At 44.8% G+C, this 20,396-nt stretch overlaps 1 protein-coding gene across 3 annotated transcripts in view, besides 1 other annotated feature; it reads right to left on the bottom strand.

Moving 5' to 3' along the window:
• The window catches only part of SLCO3A1 (solute carrier organic anion transporter family member 3A1), a 318,728-nt gene that overhangs the window by 29,505 nt on the left and 268,827 nt on the right, over window positions 1-20,396 (bottom strand). For all 3 annotated transcript variants that reach the window (NR_135775.2, NM_001145044.1, NM_013272.4), the window contains exons 6-7: window positions 16,672-16,870; window positions 14,442-14,580 (exon numbers count right to left, since the gene is read on the bottom strand). Coding sequence is in view for 2 of the 3 variants with exons in the window: in NM_001145044.1 (NP_001138516.1) it covers window positions 14,442-14,580; window positions 16,672-16,870 (338 nt within the window). In the remaining variant the exon portion in view is untranslated. The remainder of the gene's footprint in view (window positions 1-14,441; window positions 14,581-16,671; window positions 16,871-20,396) is intronic.
• Window positions 17,606-18,596: an enhancer, noted in NCBI's record as "OCT4-NANOG-H3K27ac-H3K4me1 hESC enhancer chr15:92667565-92668555 (GRCh37/hg19 assembly coordinates)". NCBI's record gives its function as "activates a minimal SCP1, AML or CMV promoter by ChIP-STARR-seq in naive and primed H9 embryonic stem cells {active_cell/tissue: H9 hESC(naive and primed)}" and the evidence as "EXISTENCE:reporter gene assay evidence [ECO:0000049][PMID:30033119]".

Here is a 20,396-nt window from a genome sequence, read left to right as displayed (position 1 = left end):
CCTGTGTCTTGGTCTTATTTTTGCCCATACCTAGGCTATGGCTCGATTATATTATATTTACCATAAAAGAGGAAACTGGCCTCTCTCTGCCCTAAAAAGTGTTAAATCCCTCCTGAAATGGATCCTCTGATCATGGCACTCATGGAATGGGATAAAATGAGACATCTTTATCTCAGGCTACAGCTGGCACGGTGCCTGCACAGCCCCATCCGGGTGAGCTAAATGTGTCCTTGTCTATGTTCATGTTAATGAGGCGAGCAGACAGCAGGGTTAAGCTGCCACAGGATTTGCAGCCGAAACAAAGGGTAGCAGTGCGTGGTTTGAATGTTCGGTGTCCCTTGACCCAAGAATCCATATGTTGAAAAATAATCACCAATGTGATACTATTACAAGGTGGGGGTTCTTCAGGAGGTGATTAGGTCACGAGGGTAGAGGACTCATGAATGGGATTAGTGTCCTTACAGAAGAGGCCCCAGAGAACTGCCTTGCCCCTCCCACCACATGAAGACACAGCTAGAGGGTGCCATCTATGAAAAGGAAGCAGGCCTTCATCAGATGTCAGATCCATCAGCAGTTTAATATTGGACTTCCCAGCCTCCAGAGCTGCGATAAATGTGTTGTTTATAAGCCATGCACTTTAAAGTGTTTTGATATAGCAGCCAAAATGGGCCAAGGTAGCCCCATGCTGAATAGACAGGAATGGGATGATTTAGGGTTAATGACAGAAGAAGAAAAGCCAGAGACCGGCACAAGACCAATGAAAATGTCTGTTTGTTGGTGTCCAAGAGGAAAAGCTGGAAATGGATGGATCTCTCCTAAAGGTTCTAGGCAAATCTGTATTTATTTATTCAGATTTAATTTATTCATAGCTGTGAGAGAGGCTGGGTAGGAGATGCCAGAGTGATCTGTGCAAGGACTTGGATGGGTTTCCTTTTCCATCCAATGAGTCAATCCACCAGGATGGGCTGGGTGGTCCCACACATGGGGAGCAGGCTGGGGCAGCCCTGCAACCTCTCCAGCAGGGGATCCAAGGGAAAATGCTGCAGTTGTGGTCAGATGGCAAGGGGTAGGAAGCTCCTTTACTGGGCTTGTGTGACATAAGAGCCCAGATTTGTCCAACGTTGTGCTAAGGGAGATGGGTGCATAAGGTCGTGAGGCTGTTAAGGAGGGATCTTCCACTCAGATGTCCGAGTGTGGTAGGAAGAACTGCAGATGAGGACTTAGGTAGTTTCACCTTTCCCAGAGTGCAGAGAGATGATTTCCAAAAATGGGGTTTTCAACTTTGATGTGAAGGGAAAAGGGGAAGTAGGGGATACCCCTTCAGCTGGCAGTAACTGGGCACCTACATGGGAAGCCCTAGATCTGCAAATGCTTTGAGCTATAAAAAGTTTGAAAAGCTGGATGTGAGACAGCAGTCTAATTTAAGGGGATGATAAAGGCTGGGATCCTAATTCTCACCCCAAACCCCAATAGCATAGTTCTATTTGGCCAATCCAAAAAGCAGGTGTATCTTGGAACTGACCTGTAGACTCCCATGGTCTGAATGAAGTGATATGTCCCCTAATGCTTTCTCTGGCTGTCCCTAAGACAATTAACTAGTAAGAAAGCATACCAGATTTCAGATTAGTTTATGATTGCAGAATTGGCAAATGACCCCATTTTCAATCCCTATTTCAAAGGCAAAGCAGTGTCTTCCTGGTTTGCCATTCTCTGGGAAGAAATGCAGTCCCTGCTGCCTCTGCGAGAGGTGAATTCTCTGCTTGGCATCCAAACTTGGGGGGTGGCGGGATCTAGCTTTACTGTCAATAAAATGTACCATGACACTTCATATTAATAATAAGGTGGCCACTGAGCTCCCAGAACAGACCTGACAAGTTTGTTGACCCGGAGGACAGGGGGAACAGGCTTGTCCGTTCTACGAGAACATATCCAACAGACAGACCTGCCCAGGCATAAAAGGACATATATACAATATGAGTCACAATGTGGTTGGTCAGAGCTCAAGTTTTGCAGCAGTCTGGATGCTCATTGATAAGAGACTGGTTAAAGATAGACTACTTGCACATAGGCTCAAAATAAAAGGATGGAGGAAGATCTACCAAGCAAATGGAAAACAAAAAAAGGCAGAGGTTGCAATCTTAGTCTCTGATAAAACAGACTTTAAACCAACAATGATCAAAAGAGACAAAGAAGGCCATTACATAATGGTAAAGGGATCAATTCAACAAGAAGAGCTAACTATCCTAAATATATATGCACCCAATACAGGAGCCCCCAGTTTCATAAAGCAAGTCCTGAGTGACCTACAAAGAGAATTAGACTCCCACACATTAATAATGGGAGACTTGTAACACCCCACTGTCAACATTAGACTGATCAACGAGACAGAAAGTCAACAAGGATACCCAGGAATTGAACTCAGCTCTGCACCAAGCGGACCTAATAGACATCTACAGAACTCTCCACCCCAAATCAACAGAATATACGTTTTTTTCAGCACCACACCACACCTATTCCAAAATTGACCACATACTTGGAAGTAAAGCTCTCCTCAGCAAATGTAAAAGAACAGAGATTATAACAAACTATCTCTCAGACCACAGTGCAATCAAACTAGAACTCAGGATTAAGAATCTCACTCAAAACCGCTCAACTACATGGAAACTGAACAACCTGCTCCTGAATGACTACTGGATACATAACGAAATGAAGGCAGAAATAAAGATGTTCTTTGAAACCAACGAGAACAAAGACACAACATACCAGAATCTCTGGGACGCATTCAAAGCAGTGTGTAGAGGGAAATTTATAGCACTAAATGCCCACAAGAGAAAGCAGGAAAGATCCAAAATTGACACCCTAACATCACAATTAAAAGAACCAGAAAAGCAAGAGCAAACACATTCAAAAGCTAGCAGAAGGCAAGAAATAACTAAAATCAGAGCAGAACTGAAGGAAATAGAGACACAAAAAAACCCTTCAAAAAATTAATGAATCCAGGAGCTGGTTTTTTGAAAGGATCAACAAAATTGATAGACCGCTAGCAAGACTAATAAAGAAAAAAAGAGAGAAGAATCAAATAGACACAATAAAAAATGATAAAGGGGATATCACCACCGATCCCCCAGAAATACAAACTACCATCAGAGAATACTACAAACACCTCTGTGCAAATAAACTAGAAAATCTAGAAGAAATGGATAAATTCCTCGACACATACACTCTCCTGAGACTAAACCAGGAAGAAGTTGAATCTCGGAATAGACCAATAACAGGAGCTGAAATTGTGGCAATAATCAGTAGTTTACCAACCAAAAAGAGTCCAGAACCAGATGGATTCACAGCCGAATTCTACCAGAGGTACAAGGAGGAACTGGTACCATTCCTTCTGAAACTATTCCAATCAATAGAAAAAGAGGGAATCCTCCCTAACTCATTTTATGAGGCCAGCATCATTCTGACACCAAAGCTGGGCAGAGACACAACCAAAAAAGAAAATTTTAGACCAATATCCTTGATGAACATTGATGCCAAAATCCTCAATAAAATACTGGCAAAACGAATCCAGCAGCACATCAAAAAGCTTATCCACCATGATCAAGTGGGCTTCATCCCTGGGATGCAAGGCTGGTTCAATATACGCAAATCAATAAATGTAATCCAGCATATAAACAGAGCCAAAGACAAAAACCACATGATTATCTCAATAGATGCAGAAAAAGCCTTTGACAAAATTCAACAACCCTTCATGCTAAAAACTCTCAATAAATCAGGTATTGATGGGACATATTTCAAAATAATAAGAGCTATCTATGACAAACCCACAGCCAATATCATACTGAATGGGCAAAAACTGGAAGCATGCCCTTTGAAAACTGGCACAAGACAGGGATGCCCTCTCTCACCACTCCTATTCAACATAGTGTTGGAAGTTCTGGCCAGGGCAATTAGGCAGGAGAAGGAAATAAAGGGTATTCAATTAGGAAAAGAGGAAGTCAAATTGTCCCTGTTTGCAGACGACATGATTGTATATCTAGAAAACCCCATTGTCTCAGCCCAAAATCTCCTTAAGCTGATAAGCAACTTCAGCAAAGTCTCAGGATACAAAATCAATGGGCAAAAATCACAAGCATTCTTATACACCAACAACAGACAAACAGAGAGCCAAATCATGAGTGAACTCCCATTCACAATTGCTTCAAAGAGAATAAAATACCTAGGAATCCAACTTACAAGGGATGTGAAGGACCTCTTCAAGGAGAACTACAAACCACTGCTCAAGGAAATAAAAGAGGATACAAACAAATGGAAGAACATTCCATGCTCATGGGTAGGAAGAATCAATATCGTGAAAATGGCCATACTGCCCAAGGTAATTTATAGATTCAATGCCATCCCCATCAAGCTACCAATGACTTTCTTCACAGAATTGGAAAAAACTACTTTAAAGTTCAGATGGAACCAAAAAAGAGCCCCCATCGCCAAGGCAATCCTAAGCCAAAAGAACAAAGCTGGAGGCATCACACTACCTGACTTCAAACTATACTACAAGGCTACAGTAACCAAAACAGCATGGTACTGGTACCAAAACAGAGATATAGATCAATGGAACAGAACAGAGCCCTCAGAAATAACGCCACATATCTACAACTATCTGATCTTTGACAAACCTGAGAAAAACAAGCAATGGGGAAAGGATTCCCTATTTAATAAATGGTGCTGGGAAAACTGGCTAGCCATATGTAGAAAGCTGAAACTGGATCCCTTCCTTACACCTTACACAAAAATCAATTCAAGATGGATTAAAGACTTAAACATTAGACCTAACACCATAAAAACCCTAGAAGAAAACCTAGGCATTACCATTCAGGACATAGGCATGGGCAAGGACTTCATGTCCAAAACACCAAAAGCAATGGCAACAAAAGACAAAATTGACAAATGGGATCTAATTAAACTAAAGAGCTTCTGCACAGCAAAAGAAACTACCATCAGAGTGAAAAGGCAACCTACAAAATGGGAGAAAATTTTCGCAACCTACTCATCTGACAAAGGGCTAATATCCAGAATCTACAATGAACTCAAACAAATTTACAAGAAAAAAACAAACAACCCCGTCAAAAAGTGGGCGAAGGACATGAACAGACACTTCTCAAAAGAAGACATTTATGCAGCCAAAAAACACATGAAAAAATGCTCATCATCACTGGCCATCAGAGAAATGCAAATCAAAACCACAATGAGATACCATCTCACACCAGTTAGAATGGCAATCATTAAAAAGTGAGGACACAACAGGTGCTGGAGAGGATGTGGAGAAATAGGAACACTTTTACACAGTTGGTGGGACTGTGAACTAGTTCAACCATTGTGGAAGTCAGTGTGGCAATTCCTCAGGGATCTAGAACTAGAAATACCATTTGACCCAGCCATCCCATTACTGGGTATATACCCAAAGGACTATAAATCATGCTGCTATAAAGACACATGCACACGTATGTTTATTGCAGCATTATTCACAATAGCAAAGACTTGGAACCAACCCAAATGTCCAACAATGATAGACTGGATTAAGAAAATGTGGCACATATACACCATGGAATACTATGCAGCCATAAAAAATGATGAGTTCATGTCCTTTGTAGGGACATGGATGAAATTGGAAATCATCATTCTCAGTAAACTATCACAAGAACAAAAAACCAAACACAGCATATTCTCACTCATAGGTGGGAATTGAACAATGAGATCACATGGACACAGGAAGGGGAACATCACACTCTGGGGACTGCTGTGGGGTGGGGGGACGGGGGAGGGATAGCATTGGGAGATATACCTAATGCTAGATGACGAGTTAGTGGGTGCAGCGCACCAGCATGGCACATGTATACATATGTAACTAACCTGCATAATGTGCACATGTACCCTAAAACTTAAAGTATAATTAAAAAAAAAAAAAAAAGACAGACTACTTGGTCCACGCGATGGAATACTATATAGCCATAAAAAGGTAGAAGAACATCCCTTATGTACTAATTTAGAAATAACTCCCAGGTAAACTATTAACTGAAAAAGCCAAACAAAATAGTGAGGTACAGAATAGGGCCTTTTATGTGCAGTAAAAAATCCAGAAGGATGTACAAGAAACCAAGGACAGCAATCATCTATTTGGCAGGTTGAGGAAGAAGTAAATAGCGGACACAGGTGAAAGGGAGAGTCCCTCATATCCTCCTTTTTATACTTTTTGGCTTTTGAATCATATAAATGTATTCAAAATGGAAAATGTTATAAAATAAAGAAATCAATGAAAGAATAGCACATCACTGAAAACTGTATTTCTGTTCCACCTTCAGTCATTAATTTCAATTGAGAAATGTTTCTATTCACATACAATGATGAGAATAAATAATTACAAGAAGGCTAGAGACCACAAAAATAGAAAAATGACTCTCTGGAATCTTGCATTTGTTTTCTATTGATGAAGGAAGCAGTCGGCATGCTATTTTGACAGCCGGTATTACAAGAACAAGATACTGCTCAGCAGTGTTTCAAAAATACTGGCAAATAAAGTTGTTTTCTGCCTGTTATTTTCCCCCCACATCCAATCCTGATGATCGATCCCTATTAATTGTACAAAGGAAGCGAAGTTCAAGGTGGAAAGATTATTTTTCTAAGAGGATTGTATGGGGATATTTGTATTACGAGCCTTCTATGGAAACTTGAAAGGTAGAGGATCGCCCCTGGAATACTGTTTTTGCTTTTCCTCCTTGAAAGCAGTTAGCAGAGATACATGAAAATTTCTTTTCTCTTTCCTTTTTTCAGAGATGAGGTCTTAGTTTGCAGTGCAGTGGCATGATCATAGCTTACTGCAGTCTCAAACTCCTGGGCTCAAGTAAGCCACCTGCCTGCCTCATTTTTTATCTTTTCAGAGATAGGGGTCTCACTATGTTGCCCAAGCTGGTCTCAAGTTTGGGGCCTCAAGTGCTCCTCCCCTCCTCAGCTCCTGAGTAGATGGGATTACAGAGGCATGCCACCATGCCTGGCTCTGGCAGTTTCTAGAAATGTTCATAAAGGGAGTTTACCGGGGAGTACCACCACAGGCCATGCTCTTCCTGCTTTTGCCTGTGAGATCTTTGATCTTTTGCACCTGATGTTCTAATAGCTGAGATATCAAAGAACGTGGGACACCACCACAATAAAGTGGGGTGTTTTCCTTTGAATGGCAACATACTTCTCTGAGTCCCAGACACTTATGGATTTTCTCATAATTCACTGACGTTCCTCAGACAGTCTCCTGTCATTTATTACTGTCTTTTTGTAGCTTAGCATCTCTTCACTTCATTGGTTCAACCAAAGCTGGTATTTCCAGACATAACCCTCAGATCTCATCACAAAGGGCGCCAATGGCAACCTGCAAGATCAAGGCAAAGGGGACACTGAAAAACTGCAAGAAGAAATACGATCTCTTCTTCCCTTGTGGGGTCACTGGCTGAAGAATAATGGCCAGGGAGAAAAATTCTGAGATGAAAGCAAGACCTCCTTCCACCTTGCACCCCGGTAACCTGTGGCGCGTGAGCCTGAGCACGTCCTGTTAGATCTTAATTATCTCCTGCTGAGGGGAGGAAGGGGGTTTTTATTTGGGGAGCAGAAAGGCTCACTCTGCTCCAGCTATCTAACATAGGACACAGTGGGGAGATCACGGAAAGGTGAAAGGCATGACTGCAACTCTGAAGGAACACAGGGCCCCTCCATCTCTCCCTCCAGCTTTCTCTCTTCCAACTCCAAACCTGCCTGCATCATGAGGTCCAAATTGTCACACCTCAGCCTGTGCACTCTTCCGGCTAGAATGTCCTTCCATGCCTGGCTACCAAACACCCACTACCCTTCATGATGAAAGCCTGGCCCTTGCCACGTCTCCCCCTCCAACTCCTGGGCTCAAGTGAGCCACCTGCCCTGCTAATTTTTTTTACATCTTTTCAGAGATGGGGGTCTCATTCACCCCATCCCCCAGCGGAGAACATGCCCACTCCCTCCTTCCACCCCTGCCCCACCCAGAACCAATTTCTACCCCAGCAGGCCTGATACTGCAAGTTCACTGATTTGTCTACACAGCTGCTTCCCTCTTTTAGAACCTAACCTAACCACCTAACCTTTAATGTTGGATTTTTTAAATTAAAAAAATCTGTTCCTCATTGGAAAAGTGATAATCATTTTAGATATTTTTGAAATATACACAAAAACTGGAAACAAATAAGCAAAATTTAGTTTTTTGGCCCCTAACCTGAAGTATCCATCTACGAATGGATGGCTATATGTTCTTCCAATATTTTTTATGCAAAGATATGCATATATTTAGATGTTTCTTTATCAAAAGGGATTATTGTCTATGTATTATTTTACAATGTGTTCTTTTCACTTAACTATATTGTAAGGTAAGGTTAGGTGTTGCTTTGGGTGCTCCCTTGGACATACCTCTATTAATAATATGACATCTCATTTTATAGTAAACATGAGCTCCTTTCCTTATTCATCTCTACACTTACAATGCCTAGCAGAGGGCCTGAGATATATCAGGTGTCCCAGGTGGCGATGCCCCAGTAGGGTTTGATTTCAGAATAGTCACAAGTCCCTTCTGACAAGCCATTACCAGGATAAGTACAGACTTTTAAATCAGCTCTGGCAGACAGGGCCAGGCTATATGAGGAGGGCTGCAAACCGTAAGCCTTTGGAACCAGACAGGAAACATACACTTAAAAAATGGCTCAGGTGTAAGGGATGGCCAGTGGTGGGGGCTGTGTCTAAGTAGACAGCAAATGTCCTGCCCAAAAGGCCAGCGCTTCTCAGTTCCAGCCAACCACTGCCCTACTGGGGTGCAGGTCCCATGATAGCTATCTTCCAACTTTTTCAGGGAGGCCCAGTTAAACTTTGGCTCAGGCCACATTAAATATATCTTCAGGGCAGACACGCTGTTTGTTTCCTGTGCTGCAACATGCTTTATGGCAGAGGTCCCCAACCTTTTTGGTACCAAGGACCAGTTTCGTGGAAGACAATTATTCCACTGACCAGTGGGGTTTGGGGGATAGTTTCAGGATGATTCAAGCACATCACATTTATCATGCGCTTTATTTCTATTATTACATTGTATTATATAATGAAATGTAATTATACAATTCACCATAAAGTAGAATCAGTGGGAGCCCTGAGCTTGTTTTCCTGTAACTAGACGGTCCCATCTAGGGATGATGGGAGACAATGACAGATCATCGGGCATTAGATTCCCCTAAGGCACACGCACCCTAGATCCCTCGCGTGCGCAGTTCACAGTAAGTTCATGCTCCTGTAAGAATCCAATGCCACTGCTGATCTGACAGGAGGCAGAGCTCAGGCAGTAATGTGAGCGATGGGGAGCGGCTATAAATACAGATAAAGCTTTGCTCACCTGCCACTCGCCTCCTGCTGTGCGGCCCAGTTCCCAACAGTACCAGTACCGCAGACTGGCACTGGTGCTAGATGTGGGGGACCCCTGCTATATGGCATATCTAACTCTCCAGTTGGTTTTTATAGTGGGCAAATATGGTCATGGTGAGAAGAAAAAAGAGACTGAATGATGAATACTCAGTGTCAGCTTAGATGCTGACCTTTTTCAAGAAAGACACAATTTATAGAACATGCCTCATCCCTTCTATGACAGCGGTGGTTCTTCACTGGGGGTGATGATATCCCCCGAGGGACATGTGGCAATGTCTGGAGACATTTACAGTTGTCGGAACTTGTGGCTGGGGAGGGCAGGGGTGGCATCTGGTGGGGAGAGCCCAGGGATGCTGGTAAAAACACAGTGCATAGGGCAGCGCCTCATGACAATCCATTATCTGGCCCAAAATGTCAACAGTGCCGTGACTGAGAAGCCCTGTATTAGAACAGCGGTTCTCCATCCTGGTTACAAATCAAAAACACTTGAGGAGGTTAAAAAAATACTGATGCATGGATCTTACTCCAAAATAAGGGAATCAGAATCTCTGAGAGTGGGGCCTCATGTTTTAAAAGCTCCCACGTGATCCTAAGGTGCGGCCTGTATTGAGACCCGTCACACTGAACCATGAGCTGCCTGCCTGGGCCCATAATGGAGCTGTCCTCCTCCCCGCCACAGAACCTACTTGGCATTTCACTGAAACAGGTGCTCAATAAATATTTGTTGCCTGGAATGGGGGGGATGAATTAGTCATCTATCATCAGTACCCTACAAACTGCAGTGCTGGACTCATACTGACTTTCAACATTCTATTGGTGGCTGATGGAAGTTTTTTTTTTTTTCTATTCAATTATTTAGTACATCAAAAGGATACAACTTACAGCCATCAGTCCACAGCATACTAACATGCTTCTGTTGGAATAATTACTTCTGAAAGTGAAAGGTACAGAAACAATCTGGACCATATATTCACGCCAAAGGAAATTTACAGAATTAACTCAATTTTTTTTTGGTCACCCTTCCTGGTCATATGCAGTGAGAAGAATTAGAAGTCGTACATTAAATGCAGGCCTGGAAACTTCCATTGCTATCACTCAAGGAGATATAAGAAAATAAAAAAAAAAAATCCAATCCAGAGCAGGAAGAAAAGTTTAATATCAGGAAACCACTAACACTAATCAGATTTCCCTATAATCAGAATTATTTGATCAGTGACTTATTTACATCTAATTGAGTTATGGGGAATTTTCACGTCTTGATGGAAACGATAAAGTGGTGAGTGGCGAGCAAGGATCAGGTCTTTAGTACTGAAACTGGCACCATCCAACCTACCCACTTGCCAACTGCTAAACAAGAGAATGGTATTACCCCTGGATCCCTGGGGCTCTCTGAGGTCAGTACAGGGCCTCCAGCTGGGTGTTGAGAAAGCCTGGAGCCTTTATCCAGAGCCATGGCTGACAGTGAGAATGCAAGGTTCCATAACAGAGCCCCTGTCCCTGCAGCTTAATGAGGGAGGTGCCAGAGTAAATGAGCCATTAGAACAGGTGAGGTGAGAGCCTTGCTAGGCAAGAGCAGGGGCAATAGGGGTTTGCAGGAAGGGCACTAACACAGCCCTGGAGGAAGCAATGAGCTGGAGAAGGCTTCTCAGCAGTGGTGAAGGAGAGACAGCCCTGAGAGATAAGACAGAGCTTAGAAGGGAGAGACTGCTGCAGATAAGAGAAACAACACGTGCAAAGGCCCAGGGGCAGGGAGAGCTTGATGTGTTGGGGAACTGCAAGTTCCACTTACCAAGTGGCTCTTTAAGAGGTGAGAGGCCTTGTAATCCCAGCACTTTGGGAGGCCGAGACGGGTGGATCACTTGAGGTCAGGAGTTCAAGACCAGCCTGGCCGTCACGGTGAAAAACCCCGTCTCTACCAAAAATATAAAAAATTAGCTGGGTGTGGTGGTGTTTGCCTATAATCCCAGCTACTTGGGAGGCTGAGGCAGGAGAATCACTTGAACCCGGGAGGCAGAGGTTGCAGTGAGCCGAGGTTGTGCCATTGCACTCCAGCCTGGGTGACAGAGCGAGACCCTGTCTCAAAAAAAAAAAAAAAAAAGAGGTGGGAGGAATAGGGAGGTTGAGGCTGGAGAGGCAGCCAGGGCCAGATGGTAAAGGCCAAATAAATGTCTCGAATGAGAAGTGCATGTTTGAAGAGGTAGAAAAAAGGTGGACCTCTTAGGGGAGGTACAGAGGGAGACACTATTTTTCCTTTCTTGGTGTCCATGTGTACTCGACATTGGACAGACCCTACATTCAAAAGCCAGATCCCCCACTTCCTATTGCATGGCCTTGGGCAAGTGACTAACCTCATCTGTATTCAGGAAATAAGAAGAACACCTATTTCCCAAGGGTGCTGGGAGGATCAATGAGATAATATACACAGGGTTGAGGCCGTGGGTGGAAGAATTGATGAAACCAGGGAAAATGGCTGAACTCACATTGGGGAAGGTGGAGAATTCCAGGGGATCACTGTGAAAAGGAGGAGGTGAAAGGTTTTAGCTTGTCAAAGAGTTTTTTTTTTTTTTTTTTTTTTTTGCCCCGAACTTGGAGACAAGAAGAGTGGAGAAAAAAGGGGGCGAGGGAGGGAGTACACATACCAGGAATATAGCCACCATTTGGCATTTTCCCAAAATACTGCAGCAGAGATTTAAAGGATTTAAATTGCTTTTCACTCATTTTTGGATGTTGGCCTGAGATTTCTCTGACTCTGGGCCAAGCTGCCATGGGTCACGAGTGACACACGGAAGGCCCCATTACCTGGACCTTAATAGGCTCTCGACAAAGCCTGCTGCTGCTGCTGCAAGTTTTATGGTTGTGGTTGTTTTTAAGGCTAGACTGTCACAAGGGTCCCTTTCCAGGATAAGCATTGCTCTGGGTCTCCAAATCCCTCATCCACTTGTTGGAAGCCAGGGCATCTAGAGATCTGCCTCTGCAGGGAAGGCACTGTATGCCTCACCCCAGCTCTGGGGCCTGGTGGTTTCTCTGTCTCTGCATTGCAATTGCATGAGAATATCCTCCTTGCCTCACCTACACCCCAGCAGACAATGTGAGGCCTCGAGTAACCTGAATAAAAGGCAGGTGTCTGGGGGACAAACAGTAGGTCCAGAGGTAAGCAGAGAAGCTTACAGTCTGATAACTGCATTCTCCAGCTTCGCTGTTTCAGCAGTGGGATGCAGCCACAGATGGGCCTGGTAAGGCTCTTATTCAATAAGACTCCTGTACATGCAAGATCAGGGGAAATGCAATTTTTAAGATAATTTTTTTGGTCAGTGCATTCCCTGGAATAGAGACTCATTTGGTCTCAGGACACTAGACTATACTGAGTCAATTTAATTCTTATAACAGGACAATAACCGAGACTGATTTATAATGTAACTTTCTGGATATTAAAATGTTAATGAAATTGTTGTCATGAAAAATAATGGCTTGTGTTTTTATTTGAACCATTCTCAAGGCCCATCCCTTCTTTTAAAATTTATTTCCACTCACATAAAGAAATTGCTTTATCATCTAATTTTAAAAAATCAGTTTCTCCCACCCACCCCCCATGGTGATTTATTTTCTCTAAAGAAAATGTTAATAACTGGCCAGGAATCTAAATGCTAAACACAAGGAAAAATGAAATCTTTGAAAATGAAAATAAATGATCCATTTTTCTTCTTTCAGAGAAATTGCTGCTCCTGAAAGATATAAGATGTAGGAAGAAGCAGCAGCTAATGATCTCAACTCTAAGTCCCTTGAAAGCTGCCACTGGGGGTTCATATTTTCCTTCCCACTATGCCTTGCACAGACATTCATGGAGTACTTCTGGGTGCTGGCCCTTGCTTAAGAAATCCAAAGACCAGAGCAGATGACAGACACTTCTAGCAAATCATCGTAATAAAGTGAGAACAATGTCTTTAGGAGAAAGAGGCACCGAAGGACTTCAGGGAGAAAAACCCCAAAGATAAAAAGGGAAGGGATGGTTTCAGAGGAGGGGACATTGGAGGAGGCTACTGACCGGTGAGTAGGACCTGTCCAGCTGGAGGGAGGTGTATGAAAAGACAGGTTGTATGGGGGAAGCTGAACACCACAAACTGAAAGGAGGTAGAGCTGAAGACACGTGGCACCTAGAACTGATCTTCTAGTTGACAGAGTAGCATGAGAAAGGGTCATTTGCTATGTTACAGAAACCCTTCTGACTGCAGTGTTGAAGAAAACGAAGGACATAAGGGGCCATCCTGGGAGGCCAGGTAGGACCTACTGCTCGGGTCCAAGCAAGAGATGGGGGCGGGGCCTCCACAGGGCAGGTGCCAAGGACTCCTGGAAGGTGGGATCAGCACCAATGGATGACCCGTCACTTAGCATCAGGTTTTCAGGGAGAGAGCGTGGAAAGCTGTGGGCTGACAGCCAATTGTAAAATCCACGCTAAGCAGGAAAAAGCAACCCACCTCCTCCCAAAAATGTGTCAGGAACATGGAAAGAGGTGGGAGGCATTTAGTTAGGAGGAAAATGGCAAAGCAAACTGGGTAGGAAAGAAGCTGAATTGGTGTCAGAGTGTTTCAGGTCTGGAAGAAGTCTTTCCTGATAAATGGTTTTTAAGCCTCTCTTGACATACTTCTGGTGATGGGGAGCTCACTACCCATGCAGACATCCTATTTCATTGACACTGCAAGTACCTTGAACCACCATCTTTTCCTTTGGTTCCATATATACAGCTTCCTTTGAATTTTTACTTTCAGTTGCACAATGAGACTTCCTACAAACCCACTTGATTTAGCAAGAAGACCTGAATCAGTCCTCTCATCCTGCTGATGGAACATCTTCCACTACAGCAAGGCAACAGCTAAGAAAAAGTCACAGGGAAGGCGAACAACCTGGGCAAAAACTTGGGTTTTAAGCCACTTTAGCTGCCTGAATCCCCTGCCCCATCCCCTGCCCCATCCCATTACCGTGCTGTTGCAGCCAGCAAAGCAGGCAGACAGGTAGGTGATGCCATCTGCCCCACACACTGGAGTGAAGGAATCGGTTTGGCATTCACAGTTATTATTGCAGGGCGAGTAGGGGTCCAGGGCTGAGCCAGGTGCTGTGCTGGAAAAGAAAGGAAACACGGAAGCCATTAGAAACAGGTCAATTCGGAATCAGATGCCCCCAGTGACAGCCTTTTGCCTCTGTTGTGATGAGTCGCGTGGTACCCTGCTTATGGGATTGTTACCTGGTTCTCCCTTCCCTTTTCCTTTACCAACCTTAGCCTATCCTGTCCAGCAAGGAGCAGCCCAGGGCCACTGCTGAGAGCTACGTGGGTTGTGCCCTGGCCAATGATGCCAGCTTGGGTGGTGGGCTGGGTGGGAGCTGAGTCCACTCCAGCCCCTCTCATGAAGCGAGGAGGAAGATGCTTTTTATCACTGGTATTGATGTGCCCTCTGGGCTGGTGGCAGTTGGGACTGCTCAGGGCCACCCCCTCCACGATGCCTCTCCTGATTGCTAAGGCCTCAGCTTATCCCCCTGTCCTGAACACTGCTATGCCTGCACCACTGAGGATTTAACTTCTTCCCTCTTTGGGCTGGTTCTTGTCTCTTTGCTTTATTCCTCCCCTACAGTCAGGAAGCCTCATGATGCTTACTTACTACACTGCTTCAACCAGACTGACTTCAATAATTATTGTCTAATTGATTCAATGTCCTGAGAAAAATAACACTAAGGTGTTTTAATTTTCCTTTGCATCATTAAAGGCAAAGTTATCTAGAGCAAGCAAACTGAAAAAAGAACAAAAGGGTAGAGTGAGTGTATTAGCTCTATAAGAGAGGAAATGTCTCTTCTTTACTCTGATCATTTTCAGCTATGTCTCCTAAGGCTCAGAGCACTTCATAATAATAAAGGTGACGATGGCGACACCCGGCAATTTATGCGTCATGCACTATTCAAAGTACTGCATGGATTATTTCATTTATTCTCATTATAACCCCATGGGCTTTAGAGAAGAAACCGAGGCACAGCCAGGTTAAGTGACTTGTCCAAAAGTACAGAAGTCATAAATGGTAGAGGAGGCGCTGGAACTAGGGCTGTGTGATGTAGGATATACACTTTTCTTTTCTTTTTCATGGAAGAATAACGTCATTATAGTAAGACCTTGTGCTCCTAACCACTACCCTTTACTCCTTGGGAGTTGAGCAGTCTGCTACTTGAGACAGCTGTTATGCATAGCAGGTGCAAACGGGAAGAAGACATATCTGAACACGAAGTCGGGGCCAGGCTGGGGCGGGGATTGGAAGGGGCAACCCCGTGATGGTGTAAAGGGGAAGGAGGGGCACATGGTGCCTGGATTGTACACAGACATACAGAAAGCTGCCTCTGTTCTGCTCTCCCACTCTGCCTGCTCACCCTTGTGGGTGGCAGAGAAGCCCTGGCTCCACTGCATCTTCCGGCACAAGCGCAGGAGCAGGCCTCGTGGTCTGCTTGGAGGAAGAGTCTGGCTCTAGAGAGAGAAACTGGTAACCTGCAGGCCAGCCATGCTTCAGCCTCGATGCTCCAGGCTGGATTTCCAAGGCAGCCTCAGTCCCATGTGGAAAAGGGGACAGCTATTGATACTGGATAGCTGAAGACTCCCCATAATTCCCTCTAAGGGCAATTCTCACTGGACTCTAGTCCCAAGTCTTGGGATAAAAACTAGGAAGAAAGAAAAGTGGTCCTATGAGAACTAACTTCCTTCTCTTCCTCCCTCCCTTTTTCTCCCCCTTTCCCTCGCTACACTTAAGAACACCTGCCATGGGCCAGATCCTGTAATTGCCATGTGAGCCTAATGACAGCTTCTGATAGTTTAAGGAATTGTTGAAATCAAATCAATTCTGTCTTTTATTTTGAGCTGAATTTTGAATTAAAATTTTTATTTTCTCTCTTCACATTTTTCCTAAAGTCAAATGCCAAAAATCGCGATGTGAGTCTGCCAGGGAGGAAACGGCTTCTCTTCTCCCCCAGTGCTTCCCAGCCTTTGAGTGGAAAGGTCTGCTTTCTCAGCCCAGAGGGTTCTACTGATTCTCCAACGTGGACAGTAAGATGCAGAGGCAGCCGTGATGCGTCTCCTCAGGTCACTAGGAACAAAGCTGGTTCCCTCAACCTACTGCAGAGGGAGATTGCTAGGGTCCCTGAACAGGCAGGAAGGCGGCAGACACTGCCAGTACTCACCTGTTTCCATAGGGAACAGTAACCCCAGCCACAGGGCCAGTGTCGCAGCCCAGGAAGAGGAAGGAGACGTAGCAAGCAGTGGACACCAGGTTGACGAGCATGGCCATCCGAATGGCCCCCAGGGCAGACAGGCTGAGCTTCTTCACCAAAAGACCTCCCAGGAAGATACCCAGACAAGCACACGGGATCGCAGTCATCCCTGGAAGGAAAATAGAGGGGCAGGGCTGTGAACAGGGAAGGTGGGGCCAGTCTACAGACAGGCGGGCAGCAGGCCTGAGGCTGAGTCCCGTGAATGCCCTATGACCCCACTGTGGTGTCACTGCCTCCATGGGACCCTGGAGTCTTCAGGAAGGGCCTGATTTATGCCCCCAGGGAGCTCATGGAGAACTGGGGGAGACAGACATAAAGCAACTCTGCTTCATGAATCTAAGTGCACGCACCTGTCCTGCTAAGTGGGGCACCCTCAGGAGAAACGCAAGCTGAAGAGGGGACTACCAAGAGATGGAGTCAGAGAGACTGGGAACACAGACATGCCTTCGGGAGGGTACATATCACGGAGCAGTGATGTGCTCTGTGAGCATTTTTGAGATGAGATGTGGGAAGCGGACTTGAGATCATTTAGGGATTTTTCTCCTCGTCTTCTAATGAGGCAAGAAGGGAGGGTTTCACGGAAAGTACGGAGGCTGTTTAACCTAAAGGTCACGGAATTCACCAGGCCATAGAGAGAGTGTTTGAACCAGCTCCGCCACCCCTCAGGAAGTGGCATCAATCAATATGTTTTGTAGCTCTTGGTGAATAAATGGCATATATATTTTTTCCTTTCTCTCTCTTCTACCCAGGGCTATCTACAAGTGAGCAGGACCATAAACCTGTTATTTCTGATTCGCAGAGACCATGGCATTTTAGGAGGACCAAAGGATCCCAGGGTTCCAAGCTCCTGCGTTGGTTTTGCTCCATTCTGATTCATCTCATCTAAAACTCAGCTTTCAATTGCTACGTGTCATTTATCTACCATGTAGATGATGCATGGCCAATTTTCCAGTCTAGGCTGCCTTCTTGCCAATCAACAGACCTCTAGGTCAACTGACTACATTAACCAGCTGGTATGTGCTAAGGGAATGCAAATTAATTTTAATATTGGGGTGAGAAAATATAATAAGGGGGTATAGCTCTGCAAGAAAACAGCACAAGTCATACTTAAAATGACATATAATATCTCTTTATCATCTGCTGCTCTTGGAGTATCTGTGCTTGGTTTTCTTCCCTTGGTATAGGAGTGATGTCATGAGCCAGCTCCTGGGTGCCTCTTTATCCTCATCCTGCACCGCACTGCCCATCCCAACCATGCCACTGTCCCTCCTTTCTCTCCCTAGGACAGGCCAAACAGTTCTGCTTCCCCAGGCTTTGCACGTGCAGTTCCCTCTCCTGGGACACTTGCCCGATGTGTTTACTTGGCTGGCCCCTACTCTCTTCAGACAGGTTTCCCAGGCCACCCTATGTAGAGATCCATGCATCCCCACCCTGAGATTCCATACTGTTTTCATGGCTCTCTCAGCTCTTTGAAGCAGCCTCATTTATTTTTGGGTTTCTTGTTTCTTGCTCTCTCTCTCTCTCTCTGCTAGGATACAGCTTTCCTGTGGACAAAAACCCTTTTTGTCTTGTTCAGTCCCGCCTAGATTCTCTGTGTCTAGCATGGTACCCAGCACGGAGTGGGCATCCAAGTATTATTTTCAGAATGAATGAGCTAAGGAACAGATTGGATGTGTGTGAATGGACATCAGTGACAACATGCCCACACCCAGAAAGCAGGCCTGTGTTTTGTTTCATTTCCTAGCAGAGACAGTGGGGGTGTCACCTGTCAAGGATGGTAACCATGGCAATCACAGGCTTTCACACCTTTTCTCCAAGCCATTGTCAGGCCCCCTCCCTCCCTGATGTATGTGCTGTCCTTAACACTCCAGGCGGTGATCAGAACTTCCCTGAAATTCCATTCTCATTACGTTAACCTATGCAGATTGAGTCCTTTTTATCTTCACTCACAAATCAGCACCACCAGCTCTTTAATCACCTGTGTTGCTCTTCTCTGAGCTCTGCCCCATTTGCTGATGACTTTGCAAGGGGTGGAAGGGGGGCCAGTGCTGATGCTCTGGGATGACTGCCTGGGCCTCATCTCCCAAGTCTGCCTTCTCTAACCGCCCACTGCCAGCCCCTCCTGCAGCCAGCCTCCAGCGTCCACACTGACTAGACTGTCACCAAGGGCAGGGCACACACAGAGGGCACCTGTGCTGCTTGCCTGGACTGCCCAGCTCAGGAGAAGGTGCCTCCTGCCAAGCACACCAGCAGACAGAAATCACTGGGAGACAGAAAGGCGCAATAAGGCAGAATTGTTTTTTTGACCTTCTGCCCTGAAGACTATTGATTTGTTTGTCGATAGAAGATGTAGGCATCTGTTCTGAAACAGAGCACTGCCCAAAGTTGAAGCAACTGTGCAAATGGAATCAAAATGGAAGAAAAAGCAGCAGAGGAGTCAGCAGGTGAGAGATAAACTCTTCAGGTGCTGAAGGGCTAAACCTGAGATCCTGGGGATAACAAAGAAGTTACAACTTTAATTATAAAGAGGTGTATTTTACCCTATCTCTGTCGGGCAGATATTAAAGGGCTGACTGCATTTTGCCAATACCTCTTGGAGGTAAAATTGACCAAGTGGTGGGTGGTAGAGAGTTCTTTGTGTAAAAGAAAAACATAAGACTTGTGGTACCCTGGCAGTTCCCAGGGAGAGGGGTGGTAATCTGGCCATATCATTGTGATAGGGTTTTACATTTTATTTTATTTATTTATTTATTTTATTTTTCGAGACAAAGTCTCACTCTTGTCCCCCAGGCTGGAGTGCAATGGCGCGATCTCGGCTCACTGCAACCTCCACCTCCCAGGTTCAAGCGATTCTACTGCCTCAGCCTCCCAAGTAGCTGGGATGACACGCCTAATTTTTGTATTTTTAGTAGAGATGGGGTTTTACCATGTTGGCCAGGCTGGTCTTGAACTCTTGACCTCAGGTGATCCACCCACCTCAGCCTCCCAAAGTGTTGGGATTACAGGTGTGAGCCACCACGCCTGGCCTACTTTTTCTTTTAAACTGAGATATGTTATGTCCTGTGAAGTACACAGAGCTTAAGGGAACAGCCTGATGAACTTTTGCATCTGTACACACCCCTGTAACTACAGCTCAGATTAACCTTAGAACATTTCTAGCAGCTCAGGAGGCTCCCTGGTGTGCCTCCCAGTTAGCTTCCCCCAAAGGTAACCACTATTCTGGCCTCTGTCACCTCAATTAACTATTCCTCTTTTTAATTCATCTAAATATGTGCTCTTTTGAGTCTCATGTCTTTCAACTCTGTGAGATTCAACCACATTGAGGCATGTATCAAAGTTCTTTCCTTCTCATTCTGTGCAATAGTTTACCATAGAACATTCTATAATTTATCCATTTTACATTGACGGACATTTGGGTTGTTTCAAGTTTGGGTCCATTATGCATAAAACAGCTCTGGACATTATTACGTATGCTATGTAAATGAGTGAACATAAACACTTATTTCTGTTGGACAGATGACCAGAAATGGAACTGATAGGTCACAGCACAGACATATGGTTAGCTTTAATAGGCACAGCCAAAGAGTTTTCCAAAGTGGCAGCACCCATTTGCATTCCCACTGGCCAAGTATGCG

The sequence above is a fragment of the Homo sapiens genome, chromosome 15 (assembly GCF_000001405.40).
Source record: "Homo sapiens chromosome 15, GRCh38.p14 Primary Assembly".
Classification (NCBI taxonomy): domain Eukaryota; kingdom Metazoa; phylum Chordata; class Mammalia; order Primates; family Hominidae; genus Homo; species Homo sapiens.
Note: the sequence above shows the minus strand (reverse complement) of the source record. Positions and strands in the feature narration are given on the sequence as shown.